The sequence below is a fragment of the Homo sapiens genome, chromosome 17, assembly GCF_000001405.40.
Source record: "Homo sapiens chromosome 17, GRCh38.p14 Primary Assembly".
Lineage (NCBI taxonomy): Eukaryota > Metazoa > Chordata > Mammalia > Primates > Hominidae > Homo > Homo sapiens.
This window is the reverse complement of record NC_000017.11, coordinates 5463028-5490847: the sequence shown is the minus strand read 5'-3', so window position 1 is coordinate 5490847 and position 27820 is coordinate 5463028. Positions and strand designations below refer to the sequence as shown.

Here is a 27820-nt window from a genome sequence, read left to right as displayed (position 1 = left end):
GGCATTATAGACAGCAGAAAATAAAAAACCAAACCCTTTAAAACACATATATTTAATGTACAGAATTGGAAAAAGGACTTCTTGATAATAAACATATTTCATGTAAACACAAGCTTTCAATATCTATGAATATTTCATTGCAAATACACCCTAAGTTACTTCTTCTCTACATAAAGGAGAAACTCCAAGTTCTGCTCTTTAGGAAGACATGGAGGGCAAGCAATACCTTAGGAACAACCATTGCTATTTCTCCCCTTTCCTTGGGTGACCTAACATTTTACAGGGACTAACGACATAAAGAAATATTAGATTCCATTGAGTTTAAACACAAATTTCCCACTGAGGGCATTAAATATTTGATGCTTATGAGTGTGAATAAATAAATATTAGGTATAAGGCAGATTCCAAAACCAACTGAAGTATGAAAACAAATTGGCATAGATACCTAACAGTCAGTAAAATTAAATTTCACTACTGAGTATATGCTACATGCTTCCTTTTCTACTCCAGTGGGTTCTGCTTTTTTTGTCTAAGGTCTTCTGCTGGACTCTAAGACAGTCAATTGCTTAACATCACCAGGTTTTTTGTCAGGGGATTTATTTTGGAAATAAACCAACTTCTTTTTTATTAAAGATCAAGGTTGTCTTTTTTGCTACATGCTTCTTTCCACTACATATTGACTCCCTCATGAAAGAAAATTCACAGGACGAGAGCAAGTACTCTATGTTGGCTGTTCCGCAGTGTAATGACTGGTTAATAAAAGAGCCACTCAGCCTGGACAATATAGTGAGGCCTCGTTTCTGCAAAAAAATTAGCCAAGCATGGTGACACGCACCTGTGGTCCTAGCTACTTGGGAGGCTGAGGCAGGAGGATCACTTGAGCCCAGGACACAGAGGTTGCAGTGAGCCAAGATTGTGCCACTGAAATCTACTCTAACCTGGGTGACAGAAAGGGACCTTGTCTCAAAAACAATAATAATAATATTAAAGGAGCCACCCGTTTAATCCTTTTCTTGTCTGGTCTCATCCAAAGAGTAAGCCAAAATAATCAAGGTCACAAAGGACTTATGACCAAGGTGTAACTCTGCAAATATCTTTAACTGGTCATGGCTTCTTTGTTGGATCCCTTCCCACTTATTAGAAGACTCAGATGCTTCAGCCTAGTTCAAAGTAGTACACTTCATACCTCAGCAAAGTGGACCAAAAAAGAGGAAAACACAGAATACAAGAAAGAGTTGACAAAGCAAATCTAATAAAAAGTATGGTTGGTTTGAACAGTCACTGGTATGATTTGAACAGTCCTTATGGTTTGAACAGTCCTTATGATTCTACTTTTTGACAGGCTCCTCCTTTTGACTACTGAGCAATTAAGATATTTTCAGTCGTTTCGATTCCTTTTCCACATTGTCTCTAATGTTCTGTAGTTTTCTGGAGTTCTGAACCAGGGATACTAAACTCTCCCTAAAATCACTAGTCCCATGATCTCTGCCAACATTATGAAGCTCATCAAAGAAAGTCAACGTCTGTTTGAGTTTGGCCTGAACAATTTTTTGCTCTTCTAATTCTGCAAGAAGGGCCTGCTTAGTACATAATTCAGTCTTGTACTTCTCCTGTAACTGTTCAATTTCTTTCTGGAGATGCTGAAAATCTTCCTCACTATAAGGTGTCTCCTTACATTTATCTTCAGGAAGCAAGATGTTTGAGGGAATACGTAAAATCAGCTGCAAAAACAGTTGCTCCATTTTGCTAAAAAGGTTATCAAAATGTCCTTTCATGAAGCAAAGAAACTTCTCTGTGCATTTGCGAATCTGCACTGGGCTAATGTCACAGTCTGGGATGCCATCCAGCTTCTTCAGAATAACCTGTTCAACGGCCTGCATCACTTCAAATAGGTAGTCTTGAAATGCAATGTAGATCCGAAGCATGCACGTTTGTGGCGTGAAGCCAAAGAACTGGGCCTCGTAGGTCATTGGATCCACAGACATCTTGGCTTATTTTGCTATGTTGTTTTCAGTCGTGAAAAACCTGCAAATGTAAAAAGGAAATAATTCATTTGGAAAAAAAAAATCTTCTGCAGGAAGTAACCAATCACATTACAGATAGCAAACAAAGAAGCAAATCAATAAAAAATAAGGAGTTTGTGTTCCTTTATACCTGATGCCACTCCCACAACAGGATATAAACTCTTTGCCTCTCTGAGGCTCCTTCCATCAGCCTATACCCTCCCTTTTCCCCTCCTCGTTGTTCACTTCCCTTACCTGTGACTTTGGCACAGATCAGTCTTCTGAATTATCATCCTAGACAACTTTGAAGTCTAGACAGATGACTTAACCAATGCCCTAGAGACTCAGTTTCTTGAGCTTCAATGACCTATAGCTCCACCTTTTAGCCACCTGGCTCTTGATATTTGTAACTACTCTTCCAAACTGCTTCTACTTTTTGACTACTGCCTCCTACACAATTCTTCCAATTCTTACCCATATACTCATATTATACCCTAATCTTCAAGATTTACAGCCCCTCCACCCTCTCTTTCTGTTCTCAGCCTCTGCCACTTCTCTTCTTTCCTTATTCATTTTAGGCCTCATGATCTATCATTTTGATCACTCCGTTGCCAATGTCCTCAATTTGCTTGTCCTCCAGCCAAGCCATCTGAAAAAAACCCAATTAGAAGATGAGTAAGTCCCTTGTCAGCTTTATAACCCTGACATGTTTTTTCAAGGGTCTGCGAGTAATTCCTCTCAAATATAAACATCTAGGAAAATAAAACCCCTATCTCCTTGTCATTGTGGGAATTCAACCTAGGCATCTTTTTCTGAGATGAAATGATATTGCTTGTCATAGAAATAAGAGAAATTTTATTATTCCTTCAGATAAAGGCAATTAGCTAAAACAAACTGCTACTTCAATTATCAGGTGAATTTAGGACGCACTTTATGAAATAATTTGCAATAAGCAGTACAGTCAAATCTTATGGGAAGATAAGATGCAGCCAATCTTAAGAATTTATGTTTGTAGGCTGAGCACGATAGCTCATGCCTGTAATCTCAGCACTTTAGGAGGCCGGATGGACGAATCACCTGAGGTCAGGAGTTCGAGACCAGCCTGGCCAACATGGCGAAACCCTATCTCTCCTAGAAATACAAAAATTACCCAGGCGTGATGGTGGATACTTGCAATCCCAGCTACTCGGGAGGCTGAGGCAGGAGAATCACTGGAACCCGAGAGGCGAAGGTTGCGGTGAGCCGAGATTGTGCCACTGCACCCCAGCCTGGGCAACAGAGCGAGACTCTGTCTCAAAAAATAAAATAAAATAAAAATTTACGTTTGTAATGGTTAAATATGGAGTGGTTATAACTGTTTGGCTGTATATGTAAGGTAGGATTTCTTTCTGTTTTTCTTTTTTTCTTTTGAGACATGTTGTCGCTCTGTCGCCCAGGCTGGAATGCAGTGGCACGATCACAGATCACTGCAGCCTCAACCTCCCGCGCCCAAGCAATCCTCCCACCTCAGTCTCCCAAGTAGCCGGGACAACAGGTGCAGGCCACCATGCCTGGCTAATTTTCTTGTTGTTGTTGTTGTTTGAGACAAAGTGTCACTCTTTCGCCCAGGCTGGAGTACAGTGGTATGATCTCGGCTCGCTACAACCTCTGCCTCCTAAGTTCAAGTGATCCTCTTAGCTCAGCCTCCCAAGTAGCTGGGATTACAGGTGGGCGCCATCTCAAACAACAACAAAAAAATACACTTCCTTGATTAACTCCTTTCTTCGAATTCCCATTAGGACCTCTCTTCGGGCACTGACTGATGAACTTCTACCGCCTCATCTTCTCTGCTAGACTTAGAGTTCCTGAGAGCAGAATAAATGCGGCTTGATCAGTATTTGCCGATTCAACGCAGAGGTGCCCAGGTCATCTCGGCGAGTTGAGCTGTCTAAGACCCCGCGATCGCGCAGGACAGGACCCAGAAGCCAGAGCGCAGGAACTGCTTCCGGCCGGCTCCCGGCTTCCGTCGGGCCCCGCGCCCGCGCTGCATGCTGGGATCTTCAGGTCGGAGGCCGGGGTGAGGCCGACCCACAGGCCGCCTTGCTCCCTCGCGAAGACGCTTATGCCAGTCTCGCCCGTCCCCGCTCCTCCTCAGAGAAAATGCTGCCCCGCAGCACTTACCGGAGCGACCATGAGGGTGACGATTTGAAGCACACACAGGCTTCCCGCCACCTCCTTTAAACCGCCGCTGGCTTGCCAGGGACAGACGGCGCGGTTGGCTCCCCAAAATTCCGACTGATACGCGCCTCGGCGAGCGAAAGCAAACGCGGGATACTCTCGCGTTCCTGATTGGCTGGTTGTGGACACCTCAATTATGACAGAAAGGGGCCGGGCGGGAAAGTTAGCTGTGGCCGGCGGGGATTGGCAGAAGGAACCTGTACTTACTCGTTTTTCCCGGACGTTGGCTGGTGGAGAAGAGAGGGTGGGGAGATGGGGCGCTGGGGGGGGGCGGTGGCGACGCAACTCGTGATTGGCGGATGTGCGTTCCTTAGGTCTCTACGGATTGCGGTTGCTTGGCGTTGATTGGGCAGTCGCGGGAAAACTAAAGTGGGCGGGGGGCCTTTGGGCCCGCCCCGCCGCCGGGGCCTGCTGGCGGAAGGGGAAATGGGGTGGGTGGGGGGTGGGGCAGGCGACGGTGGGGAAGATGGCGTACCAGAGCTTGCGGCTGGAGTACCTGCAGATCCCACCGGTCAGCCGCGCCTACACCACTGCCTGCGTCCTCACCACCGCCGCCGTGGTGAGCAGCTGCAGTGCCACCTTCTCATTATCTGGGCTGGATATGACTGGGTCTTCAGGAAACTGGGGTTTGGGCCTCGGGGAGGCCCAGAGGGGCTGGTCCCGGGGATGGGTGGAGGCGTACAGGGATTACTCTGGGGTTCGAGTTGGCGCCAAGAATGCTTATCCAGTGACGCGAGAAGGGAGTGCTGCTTCATGGGGGGTCAGGTCAGTTTCTAAGAGATGAGCGCCGGACCTATAGCGGGTTAGGGTTGCGGGAGCCTCCCACCCAAGAAATGTGTCCGAGAGCTCTGCCAATGGCCAGGTGGTACCATGGTGACTAGTGAGAGGAAGGTCCGTTTAGTGAAGAAACAGGAATGGGGAAAGCAAGCTGGAAACTGTCGAGAGGGGAATGGCTTATAATAAAAAGGGTCTCTGGATCTAAATAAGGGGCTAGCTGGAGGTACCCAGCCCTAACGGTGGCAGGGTCTCCAGTCTCCGTTATTTCAAGTGAGTTTTGTTGTTTCATACAGCTGTTTCAGGTGGTGCCCATGTGGTGGGTAGATTCATAGCAGCTGTTTTTATTTGTCCTGTGTCTAAAATATCACCACCTGTCTGCCTCATTTCTTCATGTCAGCCTCAACTATTGCAACATAAAACAGACTTTTTTGTGTTAGGTATTGAGGATACAAAGAATTCTACCAATCCTAGAGAATTCTTTACCAACCTCTTCCTCTGGCCTAAGAAGAAAGGCTTAAAGGAAATCACGTCTAAGTGACCGAGAGTTGGAAATTGCTAGACCTACTAATTCTTTGTTGTAAATGATGAAATTTTGTTTCTTGATTTGCTTTAAGAAGCTCTTTTTCTATTTCAGCAGTTGGAATTGATCACACCTTTTCAGTTGTACTTCAATCCTGAATTAATCTTTAAACACTTTCAAGTAAGTGGTTCATCACAATAGTGATTAATGCTTCAGTTTCTTCTTTTTCTTACTGTTTAGTAGCAAATCCTGTTATACACTATCCTAAAAAAGAACCCAGTGGGGACCTTTGATTATAAGTTGCCTTGTCAGGATATAAAGCAGTGATTCTGCAGCCTGGTTGGACTTGAGAATCCCTTAGGGAACTTTGAAGAGATTCTCAAGCTCCTCAACAAGTACCAAATCAGAATTTGCAAGGGTAGGAATTAAAATCTGTGTTTTATTTTTAAAGTTCCCTGCATCGTTTTGATGTGTCCAGTTCCTGTATTTGGAAATCACTGGTTTAGACTTAACGTTGTCCTATGAGAGGAGGCTGACTAGCTAGCTGCTTAGGGGTTGTCTCACAGGGATGGCCTTATTTTGTCCATTCAGCACCTAGGCACACCCACCACCTTGGTGTTATCACCATGGTCCAGAAACTCAATTCTGTTAGTGCTTTTAAATTGTGATCTGTCTTCCAGGGATCAGATCATACTAACCAAATTCCAAACATCTAAAGCTATATGGTGGTTTATTAGATTACAATGGGAGATGGTCCTTTCCAGTGATTAAAATGCCAAAAGAGGCTGGGCACAGTGGCTCACGCCTGTAATCCCAGCACTTTGGGAGGCTGAGGCAGGCAGATCACCTGAGGTCAGGAGTTCAAGACCAGCCTGGCCAACATGGTAAAGCCCTGTCTCTTACTAAAAATACAAAAATTAGCCAGGCGTGATGGCACATGCCTGTAATCCTAGCTACTGGCGAGGCTGAGGCAGGAGAATCACTTGAACCCGGGAGGCGGAGGTTGCAGTGAGCCGAGATTGTGCCATTGCACTCCAGCCTGGGAGACAAGAGCGAAACCCTGTCTCAAAATAAAATGCTAAAAGAGAGATGGATTTTTCTGTTCCAGGATGATCTTACCATAGTTGGAGTAGGGGAGAGACCCAAAAGCCAATAACTGTGCCTCTACACATGCTGTTCTGTCTGTCTCAAATGTGTTTCATTCACTTTATATCCATTGAACTCTAGCTTGCCTTTCAAAACGCAGCTTTTGTGTAACCTTTATGTACTCATCCTCCTTTGTTTTAGAACATCTCTCACTTTTACTTTGCAGTTATGCGTATGCTTGTCTCCTCACTAGGATGAGGACTCTAAAATCTGGATAATTAATATGTAGAACTGAATTGTTTCAACTTTAATAGTTAACAATTCTCAAGAATTTAGTGGTCTGTAAAGCAGTCCTGTCATCTCTTGTCACTGTGTTCGCACAATACTCACATGGCGCTGTAGTTCCATCCAAGTAAGTCTTGCTTCCTACTTGGCTTTACTCTGCCTGGGGTTAAACTCTTGATGACACTGTGCATTTGGAGTTAGGAGTTCTAGATTTGCCATCAGAGTTTCCATCTACTCCTGCGGGTCCTTGGTCAGGACATTTAAAAGTTCAACTTTTAGCTGAATAACTAGTATTCAGCTAGTCAGTCAACTTTTAGTCTCCTATCTGTGAATTGGGGGTAGCTTGCTTGTCTGTGGATCACAAGAGATAGTAGACATTTTAAAACGTTAAGCACTCTACAATTGAGAGTGGTTACTGTGGGTGTGGAGATGTTGGGTAGGGAAGGGTCTATCAGGGTTTCCAACAAGAAAATAAGTGTTTGGCAGGGTGCAGTGGCTCACGCCTGTAATCCCAGCACTTTGGGAGGCTGAGGTGGATGATCCCCTGAGGCCAGGAGTTTGAGTCAGCCTGGACAACATAGTGAGAACCTATCTCTTTTTTTTTTTTTTTAAGTTTTAGTTTAAAAAAAAAGAATTTTCCTTTCTTTTAGATGTTTCTGACTGCCTAATGTAAACATTTCTCAGCAATTTATATTAGACCCTGAAGTTTTTCTCTGATATGTCAGTTCTATTTATTATATGATGATACTACATATGAAAGCACTGTTTTCTGTTCTGCCGATTAACCTAGTCTTTCCAGCAAACTTTCTCCATACGACGATCACAATTTAAAATTTTCTTTCCTATTATTATAAATGTCACAGTCCCAATGATGTCTTTCAGACTTTGAACTAAAAGCAGCAAAAAAAATCTAACATCAGATTATATGCCCCCGTTTTTGTTTCAGAACAGAGTATCACTCTGTCCAAGGCTTCTCAACCACCGCAGTCATAGGATGTTTCTTTTGTATTAATATGGAACTGTTTCCTGGTAATTTATTTTACTTAATACATCTTTCTCTTGATTTTTTTTTAACAGATATGGAGATTAATCACCAACTTCTTATTTTTTGGGCCAGTTGGATTCAATTTTTTATTTAACATGATTTTTCTGTATCCTTTATTAAATGGGGTCAGCATCAAAACTTTTTCTTAGGAAGTAAAAAATTAAGTTGAAACTTTTCATCCTGTTACTTGTTTTTGGTACCATCTTAGCTATGATTTCTGGGTCAGTGGTACATAAAGTAGTTGCTTAGGTAGTAATGTTTTGAAAATGTCTGTAGGTCACTTTGTTCAAATGGGAGGTTTTAACCATAAAAAGATAGCACTTCTGCTCTTTTGTTACTTACAAATCTGATCAAGGGAGGGGAGAATTGATTTAACTGAGGCATACCTCCACAGTAACCAACAGGTTCGAAGCCGTAAAACAACCTGAATGCAATGGTAATTCAGCAGAATTTGGGCATAAGTTTTGGAATGGGTTCATGAGGAGTGGGAACCTGAGATCTCCTTGGGTCCTGGTTGCTGGAACTACTGGCTGAAAGACAGTGGTTGTGTCTGCTGGGCTTGTCAAGTTCCGGTTTGTTGAAAGGAAAACCCCAGCTCTGATCCAATGGTAATTGGGGCCACAGAGCAGGGCATTCCTCTTCCACCCCTGCCCTCTGTATTAAGAGGGAGTTACAGTTCAACTCATCTGCAGCTGCATTCCTTCCTGAGGATGGCAGGAATCCATTTTATATCCTATGTAGGATATCATTCTGATAAGTTTCCATTAAAGTTTTTTCTCATCGTAATTCATCTTTATTGACTGAGGTGCTCAACCTGCCAGGCTGGAAAAGTAGTTGAGCACACAAGGCTTCTTGCTGCGGATTTCTTCCAAGTTAGGATGTGGGAAAGCAAAGATGGTGCATATTAAGGTGTGGCTGAGCACAGGAAAGACAATACAAATTTTTAAAGGTTTAATAGGGGACTGGAGGGCCGGGTGTGGTGGCTCACACCTGTAATCCCAGCACTTGGGGAGGCCAAGGCAGTGGATCACGAGGTCAGGAGTTTGAGACCAGCCTGGCCAACATGGTGAAACCTGCTCTCTACTAAAAATACAAAAAATAGCCTGGCATGGTGGCACACAACTGTAATCCCAGCTACTCAGGAGAATGAGGCAGGAGAATCGCTTGAATCTGAGAGGCGGAGCTTGCAGTGAGCCGATATGGCACCATTGCACTCCATCCTAGGTGACAGAGCGAGACTCTGTCTCAAAAGAAAAAAAAAAAAGAATAGGGGACTGAAAGCATGTCTGTGTGTCATCTGGATTAGTTCCCAGCCAGGGACAGTTTGTAAAAAATGATGCTGGTCTTGACCTTTTCTCAAATGCTTGGTAAAAAAGTAATCACATTACCACTCAAACATTCTTATACAAATGAAGACTTGACTAATTACAAATAATATGGAATCCAAGTGTACTTACAAGATAACATTAAATTTTTACTTTGTTCATATTCGTGTGCTTAATATTTTCTTAACTTGGAACTTAAGATATCGTTACTGTCGAATGCTAGAAGAAGGCTCTTTCCGAGGTCGGACAGCAGACTTTGTATTTATGTTCCTTTTTGGTGGATTCTTAATGACCGTATCCTTCAACAAACAACACGGGAAAATGTTGAAGAACACCCTGGCTCTTCCTAAAGCTTGTCATCTGTCTCCCACAGTTCTCTAGATCTTAGCTTCAGGGCACTATCATTTATTTTACAGCACATTTTCTGTGACAAGTTTCCAAACCTAGCAGTCGGACAGGATGAGCAAGTCAAAGGAACTTTTAACCCAGGTGGGTTACTGTTAAGCAACTCAGTTATATCATTACTGCTTGGCGTACTTCACTTTTAAACTAAGTTGGTAAGACATTTACTTGGTGGCTACCAAAACCAATAAATTATTTTTTCAGAAAAAGAATTTTCATCTATACAATAGACTTAGATATGGTACGGTCTGACAAGATGGTTTTGTTCCAGCTAGCTTTATTCATCTCTGTAAAGGTGCTAATCGTGAGCAAGCTTTAATATAATTATTGACTGAAGAATTAACACATTTTCCAAAGAGGCAAGAACTTCACGAAAGCAGAGTATTTGTTTGAAGTAGCTGTAAATCTCGATAATTTAGCCTAAGCAGATTTTTGCCTGATTGCTCTGGGTAATTATTTTCTGGGTGTTTCTCCTTCTATTCTAAAGATGTAACAACTTGACTTTTCCAATTCAAACTTCTGTTAGAACACAATCTTTAGTTCTCCTGCTCAGTCTTTCCTATTAAACTTTTAATGTTGATATTTTCCTTAATGCCATCTGCTAGCTTTTTGGTCTGTTTGTGAGCTTAGTTTTCTTGGGCCAGGCCTTTACAATAATGCTCGTCTATGTGTGGAGCCGAAGGAACCCCTATGTCCGCATGAACTTCTTCGGCCTTCTCAACTTCCAGGCCCCCTTTCTGCCCTGGGTGCTCATGGGATTTTCCTTGTTGTTGGGGAACTCAATCATTGTGGACCTTTTGGGTAAGGCTCTTCTCACTATTTTTTAAATTATTTTACCTGTAAAAGTATTTTGTTACTATTTTTCATGTTTATTCTGTTTGGCCTTCACGTATTACCTATTGTAAAATACCACAATATTAGTTCATTAATTTTTAATAATTATGTTGACATTCATCCTAAATATAGGCAATTTGTGTTGGTAGGTCTACCTGCAATCTAAATTTTAATTCTCTCCCTCATCCTTTATTTCTGCTTGACTCTAGGTATTGCAGTTGGACACATATATTTTTTCTTGGAAGATGTATTTCCCAATCAACCTGGTGGAATAAGAATTCTGAAAACACCATCTATTTTGTGAGTATTTAACACCAGGTTACATACTCTTACAGGCAAACCAGGACAGGGGCATGATCTGTGTTTTCTTTGGCTCCCCTAGCTCCTAGTACACATAGCTCAGGTCAGTAACCATTTGCAGATTGAGCATTCTGGCTACAGTTGAAGAGCACTTGGACTGGGTAGGAGCAGACAGTGCCAGGGTTGTGGCAAGACCAACGTCAACAGGCTCAAGATATCTTGGGAGTAACCTGGTAATTGTTAGAGATGACCACTAGAACTTCTATTCTGGTAGGAGCCTGCTGGTTTTATGAAAGCTGCTGTCCACGTTTAGTGAAGTAAGGTAGCAAAATGGGCAAAACTGATGAAAGTTTCTGATGGTGGACTTTGTGGCCTGCCAAGCAGGTGGTTGAGATAAGCAGTGAAGCAGAGTGGAAATAGCTTTGGACTGGAAACCAGGTGTAGCTGTCCCACTGACCAGCCATAGAGCAAGTCCTTTCTTTTTTGCACTTCAGTTTCCTGAGATAGAACTTTGATTTCTTTCTTTCTTTTTTTTTTTTTTTTTTTTTTTTTTTTTTACATGGAGTCTCACTCTGTTACCTAGGCTGGAGTGCAGTAGAACTTTGATTTATGAGACCTCTTTCTACTCTGGAATTTGGTATCCTTGGGAGATGCCATATTAAAAAGGGCTCAATTGAGAAGTAAAATGTGAGTTTTTGTTATAAAATGTTTGTTGTAGAATAGTAAGCAAAAAAGAAGAAAGTGAAATTGTCCACTATCCCGACACTTGGGTATAGCAGTGGCCACCATTGTTAACTTTTCAATGTGTATTCTTCAGTCTTTGTGTACTTTTTAAAAAACGCTGAGCCAGGCAAGGCTGCATACACTATGATTGCGCCTGTGAACAGCCACTGCTCTTCTTGGGCTAGGCCTTTAACATAGCCACTGCATTCCAGCCTGGACAACATAACACATTCCTGTAATCCCAGCACTTTGAGAGGTGAAGGCAGACGGATCACTTGAACTCAGGAGTTTGACACCAGCCTGGGCAACATGGCAAAACCCCATCTCTACAAAAAATCCCAAAATCAGCTGCATATGGTGGCATGTACTTGTAATCCCAGCTACTCGAGAGGTTGAGGTGGAAGGATTGCTTGAGCCCAGAGGGTTGAGACTGCAGTGAGCCGAGATCGCACCACTGCACTTCGGGCTGGGGGACAGAGTGGCACCCTGTCTCAAAAAACAATTTTTGTAACCTTGTAAACTTAGTATGCCATAATTGTTTTTTCCACCCTGAAGTGTTATAAAATTATAACAGGTGATATTCCATGGTATGGATATGGTGTAATTATACTAATCCCTTGTTGATGGACATTGACGTTAGTGCTTGGTTTTCTCTTCTGTAATTGGAGTGGTGAATGTCCTTGTAGCTAAATCTCTGCACACATCCATGATTATTTTCAAAAGATAATTCCTAGAAGTAGAATTCCTATTTTGTTGCCAAACGCCTTCCAGAATGGATGTTCAGGTTTACATTTCAACTAGCATTTATAACTGTTCATTTCCCCACATCCTAATCAAACAAGGAAGGCATTTTATTTACCCTTTCCTAGTTGAATAGTTGTAGGATGATGTCTCATTGTTTATGATTTTTAAAAAATGTTTTGAAACAATTTCAGTCCTACAAGAAATTACATATGCAGTACAGGTCTCACTCCATTGCCCAGGCTGGAGTGCAGTGGTATGATCATAGCACACTGTTAACTCAAGCCCCTGGGCTCAAGTGATCCTCCCACCTCAGCCTCCTGAGTAGCTGGGACTACAGGTGCACACCACCAAGCTCTGCTTATTTTCTTTCTTAAATGTTTTTTTTTGTGGAGACAAGGTCTCTCTATGTTGCCCAGGCTAGTCTCGAACTCCAGTCCTCAGGTGATCCTCTTGTCTCTTGGCCTCCCAAAGCACTGAGATTACAGGTGTGAGCCACTACACCCCACTTTTTATTTTTTTATTTTTTTGCAATTGTTTTCTGGCACAACAAGATATACCAGGCTCATCCTGTGCTCTCCTTGATCCAGTCCTAGAATCAGCTGTTTCTTCAAGGAGCCCTGGTTCCTTTAAAGTGGAGAATGGTATTTAGAAGCCAAGATCTGGGTGCTAGATGTGCTCATTGCTATTGGAGTGTTGCTATTCCCAGATCCTCTCAGTGAACAGAGCAATGGAATTATATGTATGTATGTATGATAATGTATACATGTGTATATTTTTAGATCTATGTATTTTTTAAAACATGGGTTTATACTATACTCCCATTTCTAGTACTACCTCATGGTTCATTCTAGCTTTTTTCCTATTGGTTTCCTCCAATATTTTATTATGAAAATTAACAAACTTATAGGAAATCAGAAAAAAATTGGAGTGAGCTTCATGTAGCCACCACATAGATTCTGTAATTAATAGTTCCCTATTCTTATTGCACACCTATCCCTACATCTAGCTTTCCAATCCAAAATGTATGTGCCATTATATGTATACTTAATTCCTTGTATACTTGAGTGTGCATATCAGTAACTAGAGTTTAGTATTTATGTGCAACAAAATACACAAATCTTGAGTGTGTCAACTGAGTTTTTATAAATGCACACATCTGTGTATCTATCAAGACAGAAAATTACCATCAACCAGAAAGTTCCCTGATGTCCTTCCCTGTCAATCATTGTACCTGTCCCCCAAGAAGCAATTGCTATTCTGGTTTTGTTCCTCTGTAGATTAGTTTTTCATGTTCTACAACTTCATGAGTAGAATTGTACAGTATGCATGTACTCTTTGGTATAAGGCTTCTTTCATTCAACATAATGTTTTTGAGACTCATCTGTGTTCTTGTATTTATTGGTAATTTGTTCCTTTTTATTGCTGAATATTATTTGGTTGTATGAATGTACCACTCCTTTCCATCTGCCCTTTCCATCTGTCCTAACCTGATTCTTATTATGATTAATGTTTTACCTACCTAATTACCCCTCATATGTAACCAGTCTTTCGGGATAGTCTCCACCTCTCCCATATGGATGCCTTGCTTATCTCACTCACCCTCAGATTCCCCAGACCAGGCTGCCCTCTTACAGGGATGCCTCCCCATCCTACTCGGGCTAACATCTCGTCAGGCCACCTCCATGTGTGCATGGTCTGATGGGGCTCTTGACTCCCTATACCAGGCTGTGCCCCCACCCCCATCCTGCTAATGTTTGGGCAGTAGAAGGGATCTCAGTTTTGTTTTTGTTGTCGTTGCTGTTTTTTGAAACGGATTCTTGCTCTGTCACCCAGGCTTGAGTGCAGTGGCTCAATCTCGGCTCACTGCAACCTCCGCCTCCTGGGTTCAAGCGATTCTCCTGCGTCAGCCTCCCTAGTAGCTGGGATCATAGGCATGCGCCACCACACCCGGCTAATTTTGTATTTTTAGTAGAGATAGGGTTTTGCCATGTTGGTCAGGCTGGTCTTGAACTCCTGACCTCAGGTGATCCACCCTCCTCGGCCTCCCAAAGTGCTGGGATTACAGGCATGAGCCACCACACCTGCCGGGATCTCAGTTTCTAATATACTTTCCTTTGATTATTGTGAGAGCAAACATTCTCACGTTTATTGACCACATGGATTTCCTTTTTGAATTGCATATTCAGCCCTTTGCCCATTTTTTCTGTTGGTATGTTTGTTTTTATTGTTAATTTGTAAGAATTTTAAAAACTCATTTTGAATTATACTATTTTCTGACTCCAGTATAAATCAGAAGTTTTCAGATACATTTCTAATTTTATCAACTGTGGAGGATTACAAGTAGAAATATAAGTGCAAATTGAGGATGCTGCTTTAATGGTTCCTTCTTTAGTGAGGTTTTGAATTACTACATCATAGTACTTAGGGAGTCTTTTGGACATTTACTATCCCCTCCTATGTTCTGCAGTAATTTTTCTTGGGATACCTTGTTAATTTTTTAAAAATTTTGTGGTAAAATAATACCTAACATAAAATTCACCATCTTAACTCATTTTAAATGTTCAGTGGCATTAAGTATATTCATACTGTTTTGCTGCCATCACCACCATCCATAGAACTCTCTTCATCCTACAGAACTACAACTCTGTACTCATTAAACAACTCCCCACCCCAGCCATCACCATTCTATTTTCTTTCTCTGAATTTGACTACTCTGTACCTAAGTGGAATCATACAATATTTGTCCTTTTTTGTCTGGCTTATTTCTTATTTCATTTAGCGTAAAGTCCTCAAGGTTCATCCATGTTGTACCATGTGCCTGAATTTCCTTCCTTTTTTTTGAGACAGTCTTGCTCTGTCGCCCAGGCTGGAGTGCAATGGAGCAGTCTCAGCTCACTGTAACCTGTGCCTCCCAGGTTCAAGTGATTCTTCTGCCTCAGCCGCCTGAGTAGTAGCTGGGATTACAGGCATGCGCCACCACGCCAGGCTAATTTTTGTATTTTTGGTGGAGACAGGGTTTCACCATGTTGACTAGGTGCAGTGGCTCATGCCTGTAATCCCAGCATTTTGGGAAGCCGAGGCAGGCAGATCACCTGAGTTCAGGAGTTCGAGACCAGTCTGGCCAACATGATGAAAACCTTCCCTCCTAAAAATACAAAAATCAGCCGGGCGTGGTGGCGGGCGCCTGTAATCCCAGCTACTCGGGAGGCTGAGGCAGGAGAATTGCTTGAATCCGGGAGGCGGAGGTTGCAGTGAGCCGAGATCGCACCATGGCACTCCAGCCTGGGCGACAGAGTGAGACTCCCGTCTCAAAAAAAAAAAAAAAAAATTCTATTATATGTGTGTACCGTATTTTGTTTATTCACCTGTTGATGCACACTTGGGTGATACCTTGGTTATGGGGAAACATTAATGATAAATATGTGAAAGTCAGGTTACAAAACATGTAGTGTGATCTAACTTTTGTAAAATGACATAATGTAAAAATTCCCAAAGAATAACTAAAACATTGACAATAGTTACCTCTGGAAATTGAGGATATTTTGCTCATCTCTATTTCCTCCTTCTCTGTAATTATTATGATTTGGATTGCTTTTGTAGTAAAAATCAGTAAAAGATAAAAGCTAATGTAAATGTTAATAATTATAGATGCTCTTACAATATGTTAACTGTTTAATTGGCAGGCAGGTGTAATGCTTACCTATTGGTGGAAACCCTATGGGGCCTGAACTGACCTTGTAGTACTTTGGACCTGAGATGACTCTGGGACCAAATTATATCTGTTGCTTGTCTTTTAGGAAAGCTATTTTTGATACACCAGATGAGGATCCAAATTACAATCCACTACCTGAGGAACGGCCAGGAGGCTTCGCCTGGGGTGAGGGCCAGCGGCTTGGAGGTTAAAGCAGCAGTGCCAATAATGAGACCCAGCTGGGAAGGACTCGGTGATACCCACTGGGATCTTTTATCCTTTGTTGCAAAAGTGTGGACACTTTTGACAGCTTGGCAGATTTTAACTCCAGAAGCACTTTATGAAATGGTACACTGACTAATCCAGAAGACATTTCCAACAGTTTGCCAGTGGTTCCTCACTACACTGGTACTGAAAGTGTAATTTCTTAGAGCCAAAAAACTGGAGAAACAAATATCCTGCCACCTCTAACAAGTACATGAGTACTTGATTTTTATGGTATAAGGCAGAGCCTTTTCTTCCTCTTCTTGATAGATGAGGCCATGGTGTAAATGGAAGTTTCAGAGAGGACAAAATAAAACGGAATTCCATTTTTCTCTCACTGTATTAAAGCTTTTGTGTGTGATCTTTTAAATTCTGATAATGTATTGTAGCCCTCCTGCGTAGATCTGAGCTCAGAACAGTTTACACAGCTGTTCTTCCTGTGTCTTCACAACTTTTAACTGGATTTCATTTCAGGATTGGAAATACGTGGCTGTCATGCTGTGGTTGTGTACATCTTACTAACTCAGAATGCAAGATTCAGCAGGAAGATGATTTATTTCTGTCATCTGGATAGGTTGTTTTGCATCTGGGTTTTGCCAAACTTTGTCAGACAACATGAAAAAAAAGGAGGGAGGATGGTTCTTGTAGCAGTAGGAATTCAGCTATAGGAAAGTCAGCTGTAAGCTAATGTGGCATCTTATTTGCTTTACTTACATTTCTCCATTAAGAAGTATCCAGGGAAAGATTGGTAAGGGCCACATTTTTGTAAAACTAGGAAGATTTTCATTAGACTTTTTTTTTCTTTTATTTTTAAAAAAGTTTTAATTAAAAATTTTTTTTTAAATACAGATGGGGTCTCACTGTGTTGCCCAGGCTGGTCTTGAACTCCTGGACTCAAGCAATCCTCCCACCTCAGCCTCCCAAAGTGCTAGGATGACAGGCATGAGCCACCATGCCCAGCCATTTTTTTTTTTTTTGCCTTTTTTGTTTTGTTTTGTTTTTTGTTTTTTTAATTAAAAAAAAAAAATAGAGACAGGGTCTCAGATTTTCATTAGATTTGGAAACCAAGTTAGAATGTTGACTTTGGAGCCAGACGAACAGATACCAGTTAGCTAGGCATATGTTCTTCCAGGGTCTTTGGCTAGTTAACATTAGTCATTTGCTTCGTGAAAATTCAAGAACCTTTTCAGAGCCAAGTACCTGGATTACCTTCCCAATCAGGTAGAAATTAGACAGGGTCCACAGAAGTAGACACTTAATGCTGTGGTTCAATAAATACTTCCCCTAAATATTAAGTCTTCCCTGAGTCTCAGCAGGTTTGCATTCACACTGCTTAAGTAACTTCCAGAACCTGGAAGAGTCGAAAGAGCACCCCTAGGAAAGAGATGATTCCAAACAGCTTTCATTAACGGCATGTAGGCACAGGTCCCTTTCCCAAAAGTGGATTGTTAGTAGTAGTTCATTCAACCTTTGTTAAGGGGTAGCTTTCCAGAATGTGACATTGTCCTCAGAAAGATAGACATAGGCTTAAACATAATGGACATCCTAAATAGGAATTTTCAGATTGTTTTTGAAGTGAAAAGTGTTTTAATGTCTTTAAATGGAATTGCATAACTAATGGTATTTAAGTATTTTACATGTTGCTAATAACTTTGAATATGATTGTTGCAATTTTATGGAACCTGGGTCTATGGGACTGCTTTTTAAGCAGTTTAAAAAAGGTTTTCAAAGTTTAAAAGCCAATCTTAGCATGTATAATCCTTATGGGATTCTTAAGTTTTATCCTATCTTGTTTTTGCTCAAGAACGCTTTATCAGTGACGTTTGTTAGAATTTTGTTTTTTGTTTTTTTTTTTTAAATTGTTTTTGGGCTAGAAATGAGTTTCTCTAGTTTTATTTGTTCTCCCTGAGTTGGAGTTATGCAATGAATGGCATTTTTGTGGTAAAATACTAATCCTAAAATCTGTTAACTCACTGTTCATTTAAGTAGGGAATATCTGTATACATTAATGACTAGGTAAAACAGGAAATACATTTTGAATATACAGCCTAAAGGCAGGCAGTTACAGGGTTTTTGATTTCTCCGATTTTATAGGGTGCAAGTTCCCAGTGGCAGGATGCCCTGCTGTGTGACTGACTACACTGTGTCCTGAGCAGTGGTAATTTCAATCACCTCTCATCAGTTTGGCCAGCCCTACAACCACCATTCCTAGCCCTGTGTTGCTTGACAGGATACCTGTGCTTGAATGGACATAAGGAAAAGTCCTTACTTTCTCCCCAATTTACCTCTCAATCTTAGTTCTTCCAGAACACACTTCCCTTTCACAATGCAAATAAACTGAAAGTGAGATTTGATACATGGAATTTTGAGACCAACCAACTAACCTTACACATAATTTGAGGGATTCCTGGATTCTTCTAGTGATACTGAAAAGCACACTTGACTAAAGCATAGTGTTTTTTGTTTGTTATGGAAATACGGTATACGTTCATTTAAAAATAAATGGACATACAAATTGCATCTCCTTAGGAGATACATTTTATATACATTTCGGTGCGTTTTTTTCCAGTATGGATTTCTATTTGTTTCTCTCTTCCTCTTGTTTTTTCTGTGTCACTCTTGTATGTCCTCATATCTTTCATACCTCTTGTGTAGTCTCTAGAAGCAGAACACCTAAGTCCTGGGTCTGGATAATGAAACCCTCAGTCTCTGGGGCCTCTGAAAATAAGGAAGCATTGGAGCTATTGCCATGTTGAGTAATGGGCTTCCTAGAACTATTGTCATCTATCCTGCCAGTGTTTTATGTTGTAGCTGTTTTTCTTTGACAGGTGAGTTCCAGCTATGTTGTTAGTCATGATCCTGCCATTATTTTCTGTGTTCTGTAGGATGTCTCCAGGCTACTTAAACATATTTTATGAGTTTGCAATAAAATTGTTGAATCTTGTATGATCAAGTCACTCCTCTGCTCAGAAATCCACAGTGACTTCTTAGTAAGCCCCTACATTATATGCATACTTGTTTTTTTCTTAACTTTACTCCCACTTCTACCTAACAGGGACCTCAACTTAAGTCTCTTCAGTTCTTCAAGGCCTGGCCTTGTTCCTGATTCCTCAAAAAATCTTGACTCTAAGGCCTATTTTATTGTCTGTCTCTGAATCCCTATAAAGCTTCAAGTCTGTATGACATTCTTAACGCCAAATTATATATTGTCTTGTACTGTTCCTAGCTGGTACATGTATATTAGTCTTGTCTCCCTCATGAGAATGTAAGCTCCTTAAGGGCAGGGACCATGTCTTAATTTTTGTATCCACCACAGTGCCTAGCACAGTGCTTGGCACATGGGTGCTGAATAAATACCTTTGTTTATTGATCAGCAAAGTATTATCTGGTATTTTTAATTATAGAGGGATTAAAGTGTATGCATGCAAGCTTGAGCCTAGTTGCTGAAGCTTGTGGTTGTCTCTGAAAGTGGGATAGAGGGAAACTGAACATGATCAAGGGCAGTAATTTGGTGGTCGGAAAAGCAAAGGTGACCACCAGCTGTTATGGTCGTGATCAGACCAGTTAAGTCCACAGACCATCCCAGACAAGTTAAAAATGAAATGTGTCTGACACTTCGTCGTTTGAAGGAAGAACCAGGATATTCTCTGAATAGTTATTAGCTTGTCAGTATCTACATATGAAAGCTGGTGAACCCCAAGAGACTTCTTCAGGAGAAACAGCAGATTTCAGTCTACCAATGGGAGAAATGTGAGCAGCATGGCTTGATGCATATATAGGACTTAATTTTTCCACTCTTTGGTCCTCTTAGCTTTGAGGCTATAGAATAGCTGGATCATTAGGCCAGAGATTATGGATGAGTTACCTACAGATTTGTTACCTACCTATGTGCTTTGTTTTGACAGTACTTTTTTTTTTTTTAAGTTTAAACCTGTATTTAACATTGACAGATAAAAATCTTCACTTTTGGCTTTTCTTGAGAAAATTGGAAGATCTGGCAATAATAGGTCTACATGACAGCCATTGCCTAGAAATGATTAGGGGCTGCATGTAGAGGTGGAATGTGCTCCATCAAGAAATAAGTCCACCCATTTACATTACCTAAATTATTGTAATCATTTGGAACATCGGACTCCTACCTTAAGTTACTCTGGAAAGCACACTGGGAAAAAGGACTGGGATGTCTTTACTCAAAGTCCATAATTTGAGAGTTAACATTTATTATCCCTTGTAGTTTTGGGTTGCCTTTCTAAATATTTCAGGGTAGGAAGTGAAAATTTGTCAGTTTATTCTTAAACACAAATCTGCTGCTGGTTCAACGTGCACATTTTCAGTAATGCCTGGTCACCAAACTGTCAGCAACTAGAGGAAAATTATCTCCGACCTGGAGCAAAGGGGAGGTTTTTTGTTTTTAGACTAGCTCTCTCACGAATCACGGGAAGGGAGATATTTAACAGGGCGAGTTTCATGGAAACGAGCTTCAGAAGATACCCTTCACATGAGCTGAAGCTTACGGTGTATTCTCTGGAAATCACATTTCCTGTAAGAGCAAACAGCTACTTGGCATTCTCCGTGGTAAATTAGCAAATCATCTAAGAACTTTTAGGAGGGTAAGGAAGAACTAGTTATAATCCTACTTTTTTCTGCTGCAGTTCTGAATCTTCACTGAAGTGTCTGTGATGGGGTTGCACAGCCATGTAGAGAACTTGAGAGTCTGGCTGGAATGGTTGGGGGAAAGGAAAGATAAAAGACAATTTTAATTTCATTGAACTCCCTCCTTTCTCTGCTTGTATTACTGGAGGCGACCACATCCGTTGGAGGAGTCATTTTCTGAGTTAAATTCATGTATATCAGAATTGGTTTTCCTTTCTGTAACACAAGATGATCACAAAATTATGATTTGGGGACATCTGAATGACTAAGATGACTCAATTTCTTAATCTGTAAATTAGAGATAATCTAATAACCAGTATATACCACATAACTTATAAGTTGTTTAGAGGATTAGACAATGCACGTTTGCGCTTCTCATTGATTTTACAGAATTAAGTACTTTCCTTGAAGAGTGACTGTTATTTGGACAGAGAAGGGGAAAACGCGGGTTTACTGAAAAGAAGTAATGCTACTAGAACAAAACAATGGGCGGGGCGCGGTGGCTCACGCCTATAATCCCAGCACTTTGGGAGGCCGAGGCAGGCGGATCACCTGAGGTCGGGAGTTCAAGACCAGCCTGACCAACATGGAGAAACCCTGTCTCTACTAAAAATACAAAATTAGACGGGCCCCGGTGGCGCACGCCTGTAACCCCAGCTACTTGGGAGGCTGAGGCAGGAGAATCGCTTGAACCCAGGAGGCGGAGGTTGCAGTGTGAGCCGAGATCGCGCCATTGCACTCCAGCCTGGGCAACAAGAGCGAAACTCCATCTCAAAAAAAAAAAATAAAACAATGAGAAAAACCTCGTTAACCAAGACTACAGTCCCACGGAACCTTACATCCTGTGTTTCCCGGTTGTAGCTCCGGGCCTTTTCCTGGTTGTACCTCAGGCCCTGCTTTTCCCACCCCCAGGAAGTGAAAGCCTTCCCAAGCCCCCAAGGCATGCTGGGAGATGCAGTCCCTTTTTCTAAAGACTGGGGCGGCCGTGAGGTCATCGGTGGTCGCCGGGAGCCGCCAGCACGTGGCGGCGAGGAAGGGGCGGTGTGCTCCTGTTGTCTGCACCTGAGAGGGGGCAGGAGCTCTCGGCGCTTGCGCCTCCCGCCGCGGTGCCCTCCCGACATGCCGGAGGAGGCGGGCTTCCCGCCGGCCAAGAGATTCCGGCCAGGCTCTGGACCTCCGAGCCGCGCTGGGTCCTTCCCTCCCGGGAGGCAAGTGGTGATGCTGCTGACTGCGGGCAGCGGCGGCAGAGGAGGAGGAGGAGGCCGGAGGCAGCAGCCGCCCCTGGCCCAGCCCTCGGCCAGTCCCTACCCTGAAGCTGTGGAGCTGCAGCGCCGGAGTCTGCCCATCTTCCAAGCGCGGGGGCAACTGTTGGCCCAGCTCCGAAACCTGGACAACGCGGTCCTCATCGGTGAGTGGCCGCGCCGGCGGGCTCTTCCTTGCACTTCGTCCGTGGCTTAGCTAGAGCAGTTTTTCTTACATGCCTCTCAATCCCTTTCGTTCGTGGCTTCAACAAACCTGAATACCTTTTCTGGGCCAGACCTGGAGAGGGGCCTCGAAGAAGAGTCCGGCAGCCCTGCCCTGGAGGCGCTGGACAGCCCGGTGAGAGTGACCAACGTGTGTAGGCAAAGACTCACCTTCCGCGTAAAAGGGTAGAGAAACGTACCGGGGGCTTGCGGATCTTAGAAGAGTGGATCTGACCCGGTTTGTGAGGAGGCGGCTGGGGAGGTCGTGTGGGAGGGAGGGCATTCTAGGCAGGGGGGAAAGCCCGTTTGAGAGATGGGAACCTGAACACATTCCGGTCGAAAGGGAAGGTGTAGTTTCTGGTGCATGAAAAGAGGCAGAGTTGTGGGGCAGGGACTGATTTCATGGGGCTTATGATCCCCAACGTGTTAGAGGAGATACTGAAGGACGGAAAGGATGAGCAGCCAAAGAGAGGAAGGAGACCCATGAGTGCTGCTAGTCAAAGGAATAGAGAGTGAGCAGATGCAGCAGTCAAGTCCGGTTATACTGGACTTGGATGTGATGCCCACTGGATTTGGATGTGAGCTATTTGTAAGAGTTAAAGAAAAAGGAAAGAAACACGAAACGCGGCTGGCAGTTAAAGACAGCTTTTCTTTAGTTAAAACCTGAGAGGCGCTCCTGGCCGATTTCGGTCAGGAGCCCTTTCTCTTACAGACTAAGAGTATATATTGGTGTTAGGGTGAGGGGGCTTATCACAAGCTTGGAATGTTTATATGTGTGGAGAAGTTTTTGGCAGGGTTGGACTCTTTGGGAGCAGGGGATGTTATCTTGGGGCAGACATTTTTCCGGCCCGAGGGGGTTTATCTCCCGGCTGGCATATTCCCGGCTGGCATATTCCCGGCCAGAGTGGGGTTATCCCTTAACATGTCTCTGGTCGGGGAGGAGTTTGGAATGTTTCTGGCTGGAGATGTTATTTGTGGTTTATGGTCGTGCTGACCTTAGCCATTAGGCTGATACCTTTTGGATTTAGGCGGTTTTTTATTAAGGTGAACTTTTGAATGAGGGGCTTGTCCAAGATGGTGATGTTCCTGCTTTGTCAATCCAGACCCTATAGTTATAAAAAGGAGGAGGGACGGCATGTTCTTTCTGGCTACTTCCTGCAACGAGGGGATGGAGAGTTTCCTGGTCTCGGGTTGACTAGGAGCAATGCCGTCTGTAGATGTTTTTGGGTAGTTGTTTGTGAAATTGCCATGATCCTGTCAGTTAAAAATCTTTGAAAAAGATTAATTAGGCAGGGTAAGAACATTAGTTCCAGGCATATTATTAGGAGAGGGCCCAGGAATGGGATGACCCATGCTATGATTTTGTTTTCAAACCAAGAGTCCATTTGGTGGTTTTGGTACTCCCTTAGCTTTTTAGCCTTTTCTTTACGTTTTTTAGCAGCGCTTTTTACTAGGCCCGATTGGTTGATATAGAAAGAGGCGTGAGCCACCGCACCTGGCCCCCTCAAAACAATTATTTAACCTTTTAACGTAGGTAAAAATGTGCATTCTTATCCCTCCTGATAATCTTTTTACCGAAAGTGTACTTTACTTTCCTTACACACCTTGCACATAAAGTGTCTCTTCAATAGTTTTAAATACATGTTACACTGTTAACTTTTAGCAACCTTTACCTTTGTTGAAAACCTTGGTAAGTTCGGGATTTTAATTATGTGCTAGGTGTACAGCCTAGGACTTAGACAGAAGTGCAGTTAAGGTCTGGCTTATTTCAGCATTTAGCTCCATGTGTCCTAGGTTTTACCTAGCTGCAAAGCAGGCAAGTTCTACAGCTAAGAGTTATGGTGACATTTTATAAAGCATTCAGGAGGCCTAATCACTTTTAAATTGTAAAACATTTCTTGCATACATTTCCTCTCATAAAATTTTTCATGACTTTCACAGACTATCTCTGACACTATTGATCGTGGATCCATCCCATCGAGAGCTATTTCAACAAAGCTGTGTGGGTAACAGCTGATTTGTCATTGAGCTGAGGGCTGAAAGCAGGGGGAAGAGGCTTCTGTTTTGAGGAAAAAGGAGGGAAGCTGAGAGAAACTTTATGGATGCTGCTCGATTTAGGATGGGGTTATGTGTGGATGAATCCACCCATCCTCATAAGTTGAAAATATCCTAAGTTGGAAATGCATTTAATATGCCCAGCCTACTTTCAGTGTGCTCGGAACATGTACATTAGCCTATGGTTGGGTGATATTATCTAACATGAAACCTATTTTATAATAAAGTCTTGAATATTTCATGCAATTTATTGAATACCATACTGAAAGTGACAGTTGTGTGGGTACTCAAAAGTACAGTTTCTACTGTACGATTTTGACTTTTGCTCCATCCTGAAGTCAAACAGTTCTAAGACAGGGACCATCTGTATTCAGAGGTTGAGGGGAAGAACTCAGTAGGGAGGGAGGCAGAAGATAGAATCGAGCTAACAGAGCAAAGATCAGGAGGCATGGGGGACGGGGGAACTTGGCCACAAGGGCTAGATGCAGGGCTGGTCTGGAAGAGGAGGAAGGCTAAGAGGCTGCAGGGCTAGAGAACGGATGTAAGGATGGTGCACTGCAGAAGGGCTTCTAGGGGCAGTTAGGGAGAGACCACATTTTAGAACCCCACTTCTGTGAGACAGGTTCAGGAGCCCTGCTCAGAATGGGAGTCACTGGGCTTCAAGTGGGCCCTTGGGGAGGATGGAGACGAGACAGGCTGCAAAAACAAGAAAAAAGATCGATGGCAGTAGTGGTGCCTAGGTGCATTTCGGCTACACTATAAACTCAGGTTTGCTTCTGCACAGCCAGATTATAGGTGGAACATCCCAAATTTGAAAATCCGAAGTCAAGAATGGGCTCCAAGGAGCATTTCCTTTGAGTGTCATATCAGATGCTCAAAAAGTTTTGGATTTGGGAGCATTTAGGACTTCAGATTTTCACATTTAAAATGCTCAGCCAGTAAGTATAATGCAAATATTACAAAACTTGAAAGAATCCAAAGTTCAAAACACTTCTGGTTCCAAGCATTTTGTATTTTACTTTAGCAACGCTCTGTTGCCCTGGTATAGGAGCATGAAAGATAGAGACATGGATCAAAGTTTGGGGTTTTGCCTAGTGGATTCAGCAGGAAGATTGCAGAATAATCAAATCCTTTGTCTGATTCTTATCTGGGTCAGGAAGGATGAGCAGTCAGAGGGGGCTGACAGACTGACAGGGAAAAAAACCCACAAATCATGGGACTGGAGGACTTTTTGAAGTCAGAGAGGCCTGGTGGTAGCTAGAGGGAGGGGAAGGAAGCGCAGGTTTACTGAGTTCTTTGCTCTAATCAGGCACTGTTAAAGGAATTCACACAGGGTAGGAAGTAACATTTACTGCGTGCTTATTGTATGCAAAATACTCAAGTACACGAGAGGGACATTCAGAGCACTGCCCTCTGGGAGCTTCCCTTCTGGTGTTGGAGGAGGACGGACACATTTAAACGCTTCTGTACAACACAGGATGGTCAGTGCTGGAAGAGAGATGAACAAGGCACTACGGAGCCCAGAGGAGGGCCACTGTGCAGCCAGGGGAGCGTGTTTGAGGCCTAACTCATCTTAGAGTTTGCGAGGCAGGCAGTGTGAGGGCAGGTGTTCTGCCCATAGTGTGGGCAGAGGCAGAGGGTTTGAAGGGAGGCAGCAGGCTGGGGAGTGGCCAGGAGTTGAAGGCAGCAGTGCATGAATGGATGTCTCTTCATGTCAGTCAGTATGCAGAAATCTATGTAACGGTTGTATTTTATTTTATATTTTAACTATGTAAATTACCTTTTGAACATTTATATTGTTTCCAATTTTTTTCTGTCAGGAGCAAAATTGAATAAAATCTCTTTGAAGCTGTATCTTTATACACATGTTTACTTATTTTGTTAGAATCAATTTCTGCAAGTAGAATTGTGGGTCAAGGGATATAAACATTTTAAAGATTTAAAAAACATAATTTGACCACCTGAGAAACAATACCAATTAACCAGCTAATTTCACCAGCAGTATACATACCTGAATGCCCATTCTCCTGAGGCTTTACCAACACAGGGTATTTTATCTTTTACTTCTGACTTTGAGCTGTTTGTTTGGTGAAATTTATGTCAATTTGCTTTTTGTTGTTGTTGTTTTTCTAAGACAGGGTGTCATTCCGTTGCCCATGCTGGAGTGTAGTGGTGTGATCATGGCTCACTGCAGCCTCAACCTCTCAGGCTCAAGCAATATGCCCACCTCAGCCTTCAGAGTAGCTGGGACCACAGGCGTGCACCACCACGTCCAACTAATGTTTGTATTTTTTGTAGAGACGGCATCTCCCTATGTTGCCCAGGAGCAACTCCTGGGCTCAAGTGATCCTCCTCCCTTGGCCTCCCCACGTGCTAGGATTACAGGCATGAGCCACTGTGCCCAGCCGATTTGCATTTCTTTTTTTATTTTTATTATTTTTTTTGAGACAGTGTCTCACACTATCTCCCAGGCTGGCATGCAGTGGCACAATCATGGCTTACTGTAACCTTGAACTCCTGGGCCTCATGATCCTTCTGTCTCAGCCTCCCTAGTAGCTGGGACTACAGGCACATGCAACCACACCAGGCTAATTGTTGTTGTTGTTGAGACGGGGTCTTGCTATGTTGCCCAGGCTGATTTTGAACTCCTGGGCTCAAGAGAGCCTCCTACCTCGGCCTCCCAAAGTGCTGAGATTATAGGTGCCAGCCCTGGTGCCGAGCCCCAGTTTGCATTTCAGTGAGCCTTTTTTTTTTTTCCCCCTCTCTCCTAGGGGAAACTGGCTCTGGGAAGACAACTCAGATCCCTCAGTACCTGTATGAAGGAGGGATCAGCCGCCAGGGCATCATTGCTGTGACCCAGCCTCGTCGAGTAGCTGCCATCTCTCTTGCTACTAGAGTCTCAGATGAGAAGAGAACTGAACTTGGGAAGCTGGTACCTGGTTCCTTCTTGACTATTAGTACTTCTTGACTCAACAGCTCTCTCCCCATGCCCACTGCCTTTTATTTTTCTAAACAAGACTCCTTTTACATAGTGAGCTGCTTTCTTGCCTATTCTTCCGAGAGTTCTTTACCAGCTCCTGAGAGATCAGGGGCTCTATTGGTCCCATGTGCTTTGCTTTCAAAATCTGTCGTCAGGTTGGATAAATTAGTTGCTTTCCTTGAACATCTTAAGCCTTCAGTAACCTCTCTTAACTCTCTTATCTATATATCATTCTAGAAAAATTGTAAGCATTATGCCAGTGTATATGTGAGTATTGAGAATGAGTCTCAGAACTGTATATAAGACAGATTTATTTGTGTGTGTGTGTACTCATTTCACTTAAAAATACCTTAGACGTCTTTTCATATCTGTACATAGCTTCACATGAAACTTTTTTTTTTTTGGAGATAGTCTCGCTCGGTCGCCCAGGCTGAGGTGCAGTGGCGCAATCTT

General features: G+C 42.7%; 3 protein-coding genes and 1 long non-coding RNA gene across 27 annotated transcripts in view, besides 11 other annotated features; 2 read left to right on the top strand and 2 right to left on the bottom strand.

Moving 5' to 3' along the window:
* Positions 1-36: 36 nt before the first annotated feature.
* MIS12 (MIS12 kinetochore complex component) lies at positions 37-4474 on the bottom strand. 10 transcript variants are annotated; one of them, XM_047436696.1, is made up of 4 exons: positions 4164-4282; positions 3785-3847; positions 2259-2652; positions 37-2025 (listed from the first exon to the last, which is right to left on the bottom strand). In XM_047436696.1, the coding sequence occupies exon 4, from the start codon at positions 1983-1985 to the stop codon at positions 1368-1370; it is 618 nt and encodes a 205-aa protein (XP_047292652.1). In that variant the 5' UTR covers positions 1986-2025; positions 2259-2652; positions 3785-3847; positions 4164-4282; the 3' UTR covers positions 37-1367. The 10 variants fall into 10 exon arrangements, with proteins under 10 accessions (XP_047292652.1, NP_001245148.1, XP_016880523.1 ...); NM_001258219.1 differs by lacking the exons at positions 3785-3847; positions 4164-4282 and adding an exon at positions 4428-4474; XM_017025034.2 differs by having other exon boundaries at positions 3154-4282.
* Positions 3663-3772: an enhancer, noted in NCBI's record as "active region_11579". NCBI's record gives its function as "activates an Ori minimal core promoter by ATAC-STARR-seq in GM12878 lymphoblastoid cells {active_cell/tissue: GM12878}" and the evidence as "EXISTENCE:reporter gene assay evidence [ECO:0000049][PMID:35858748]".
* Positions 4013-4112: an enhancer, noted in NCBI's record as "active region_11578". NCBI's record gives its function as "activates an Ori minimal core promoter by ATAC-STARR-seq in GM12878 lymphoblastoid cells {active_cell/tissue: GM12878}" and the evidence as "EXISTENCE:reporter gene assay evidence [ECO:0000049][PMID:35858748]".
* On the top strand, positions 4031-19594 carry DERL2 (derlin 2). 13 transcript variants are annotated; one of them, XM_047436186.1, is made up of 8 exons: positions 4031-4338; positions 4535-4985; positions 5635-5697; positions 7966-8039; positions 9459-9552; positions 10266-10461; positions 10704-10794; positions 16059-19594. In XM_047436186.1, exons 2-8 carry the CDS (start codon positions 4647-4649, stop codon positions 16162-16164), a joined length of 963 nt encoding a protein of 320 aa, XP_047292142.1. In that variant the 5' UTR covers positions 4031-4338; positions 4535-4646; the 3' UTR covers positions 16165-19594. The 13 variants fall into 13 exon arrangements, 11 of the variants coding, with proteins under 11 accessions (XP_047292142.1, XP_047292141.1, XP_047292143.1 ...); XM_047436185.1 differs by having other exon boundaries at positions 5632-5697; XM_047436187.1 differs by lacking the exon at positions 16059-19594 and adding an exon at positions 12849-12999 and having other exon boundaries at positions 5632-5697.
* Positions 4286-4453: a silencer, noted in NCBI's record as "fragment chr17:5389715-5389882 (GRCh37/hg19 assembly coordinates)". NCBI's record gives its function as "represses an EF-1alpha promoter that drives an FKBP-Casp9 reporter gene in an ReSE screen in HepG2 liver carcinoma cells {active_cell/tissue: HepG2}" and the evidence as "EXISTENCE:reporter gene assay evidence [ECO:0000049][PMID:32094911]".
* Positions 4286-4562: a biological region, named in NCBI's record as "ReSE screen-validated silencer GRCh37_chr17:5389715-5389882".
* Positions 4403-4562: a silencer, noted in NCBI's record as "silent region_8071". NCBI's record gives its function as "represses an Ori minimal core promoter by ATAC-STARR-seq in GM12878 lymphoblastoid cells {active_cell/tissue: GM12878}" and the evidence as "EXISTENCE:reporter gene assay evidence [ECO:0000049][PMID:35858748]".
* Positions 4733-4792: an enhancer, noted in NCBI's record as "active region_11577". NCBI's record gives its function as "activates an Ori minimal core promoter by ATAC-STARR-seq in GM12878 lymphoblastoid cells {active_cell/tissue: GM12878}" and the evidence as "EXISTENCE:reporter gene assay evidence [ECO:0000049][PMID:35858748]".
* Positions 4833-5012: an enhancer, noted in NCBI's record as "active region_11576". NCBI's record gives its function as "activates an Ori minimal core promoter by ATAC-STARR-seq in GM12878 lymphoblastoid cells {active_cell/tissue: GM12878}" and the evidence as "EXISTENCE:reporter gene assay evidence [ECO:0000049][PMID:35858748]".
* Positions 19595-20487: 893 nt separating the features above from the next.
* DHX33-DT (DHX33 divergent transcript) lies at positions 20488-21756 on the bottom strand. The gene is made up of 3 exons (NR_135644.1): positions 21709-21756; positions 20854-20934; positions 20488-20756 (listed from the first exon to the last, which is right to left on the bottom strand). It is a non-coding gene; the product is annotated as a DHX33 divergent transcript (long non-coding RNA).
* Positions 21773-21842: an enhancer, noted in NCBI's record as "active region_11575". NCBI's record gives its function as "activates an Ori minimal core promoter by ATAC-STARR-seq in GM12878 lymphoblastoid cells {active_cell/tissue: GM12878}" and the evidence as "EXISTENCE:reporter gene assay evidence [ECO:0000049][PMID:35858748]".
* The window catches only part of DHX33 (DEAH-box helicase 33), a 28066-nt gene continuing 22111 nt past the window's right edge, over positions 21866-27820 (top strand). For 2 of the 3 annotated variants that reach the window (NM_020162.4, XM_047436418.1), the window contains exons 1-2: positions 21866-22277; positions 27159-27319. In NM_020162.4, coding sequence (NP_064547.2) covers positions 21989-22277; positions 27159-27319 — 450 coding nt within the window. In that variant the 5' untranslated portion in view covers positions 21866-21988. The remainder of the gene's footprint in view (positions 22278-27158; positions 27320-27820) is intronic. The other variant, NM_001199699.2, reaches the window with a different exon arrangement.
* Positions 22223-22442: an enhancer, noted in NCBI's record as "active region_11574". NCBI's record gives its function as "activates an Ori minimal core promoter by ATAC-STARR-seq in GM12878 lymphoblastoid cells {active_cell/tissue: GM12878}" and the evidence as "EXISTENCE:reporter gene assay evidence [ECO:0000049][PMID:35858748]".
* Positions 22223-22814: a biological region, named in NCBI's record as "H3K27ac hESC enhancer GRCh37_chr17:5371354-5371936".
* Positions 22232-22814: an enhancer, noted in NCBI's record as "H3K27ac hESC enhancer chr17:5371354-5371936 (GRCh37/hg19 assembly coordinates)". NCBI's record gives its function as "activates a minimal SCP1, AML or CMV promoter by ChIP-STARR-seq in naive H9 embryonic stem cells {active_cell/tissue: H9 hESC(naive)}" and the evidence as "EXISTENCE:reporter gene assay evidence [ECO:0000049][PMID:30033119]".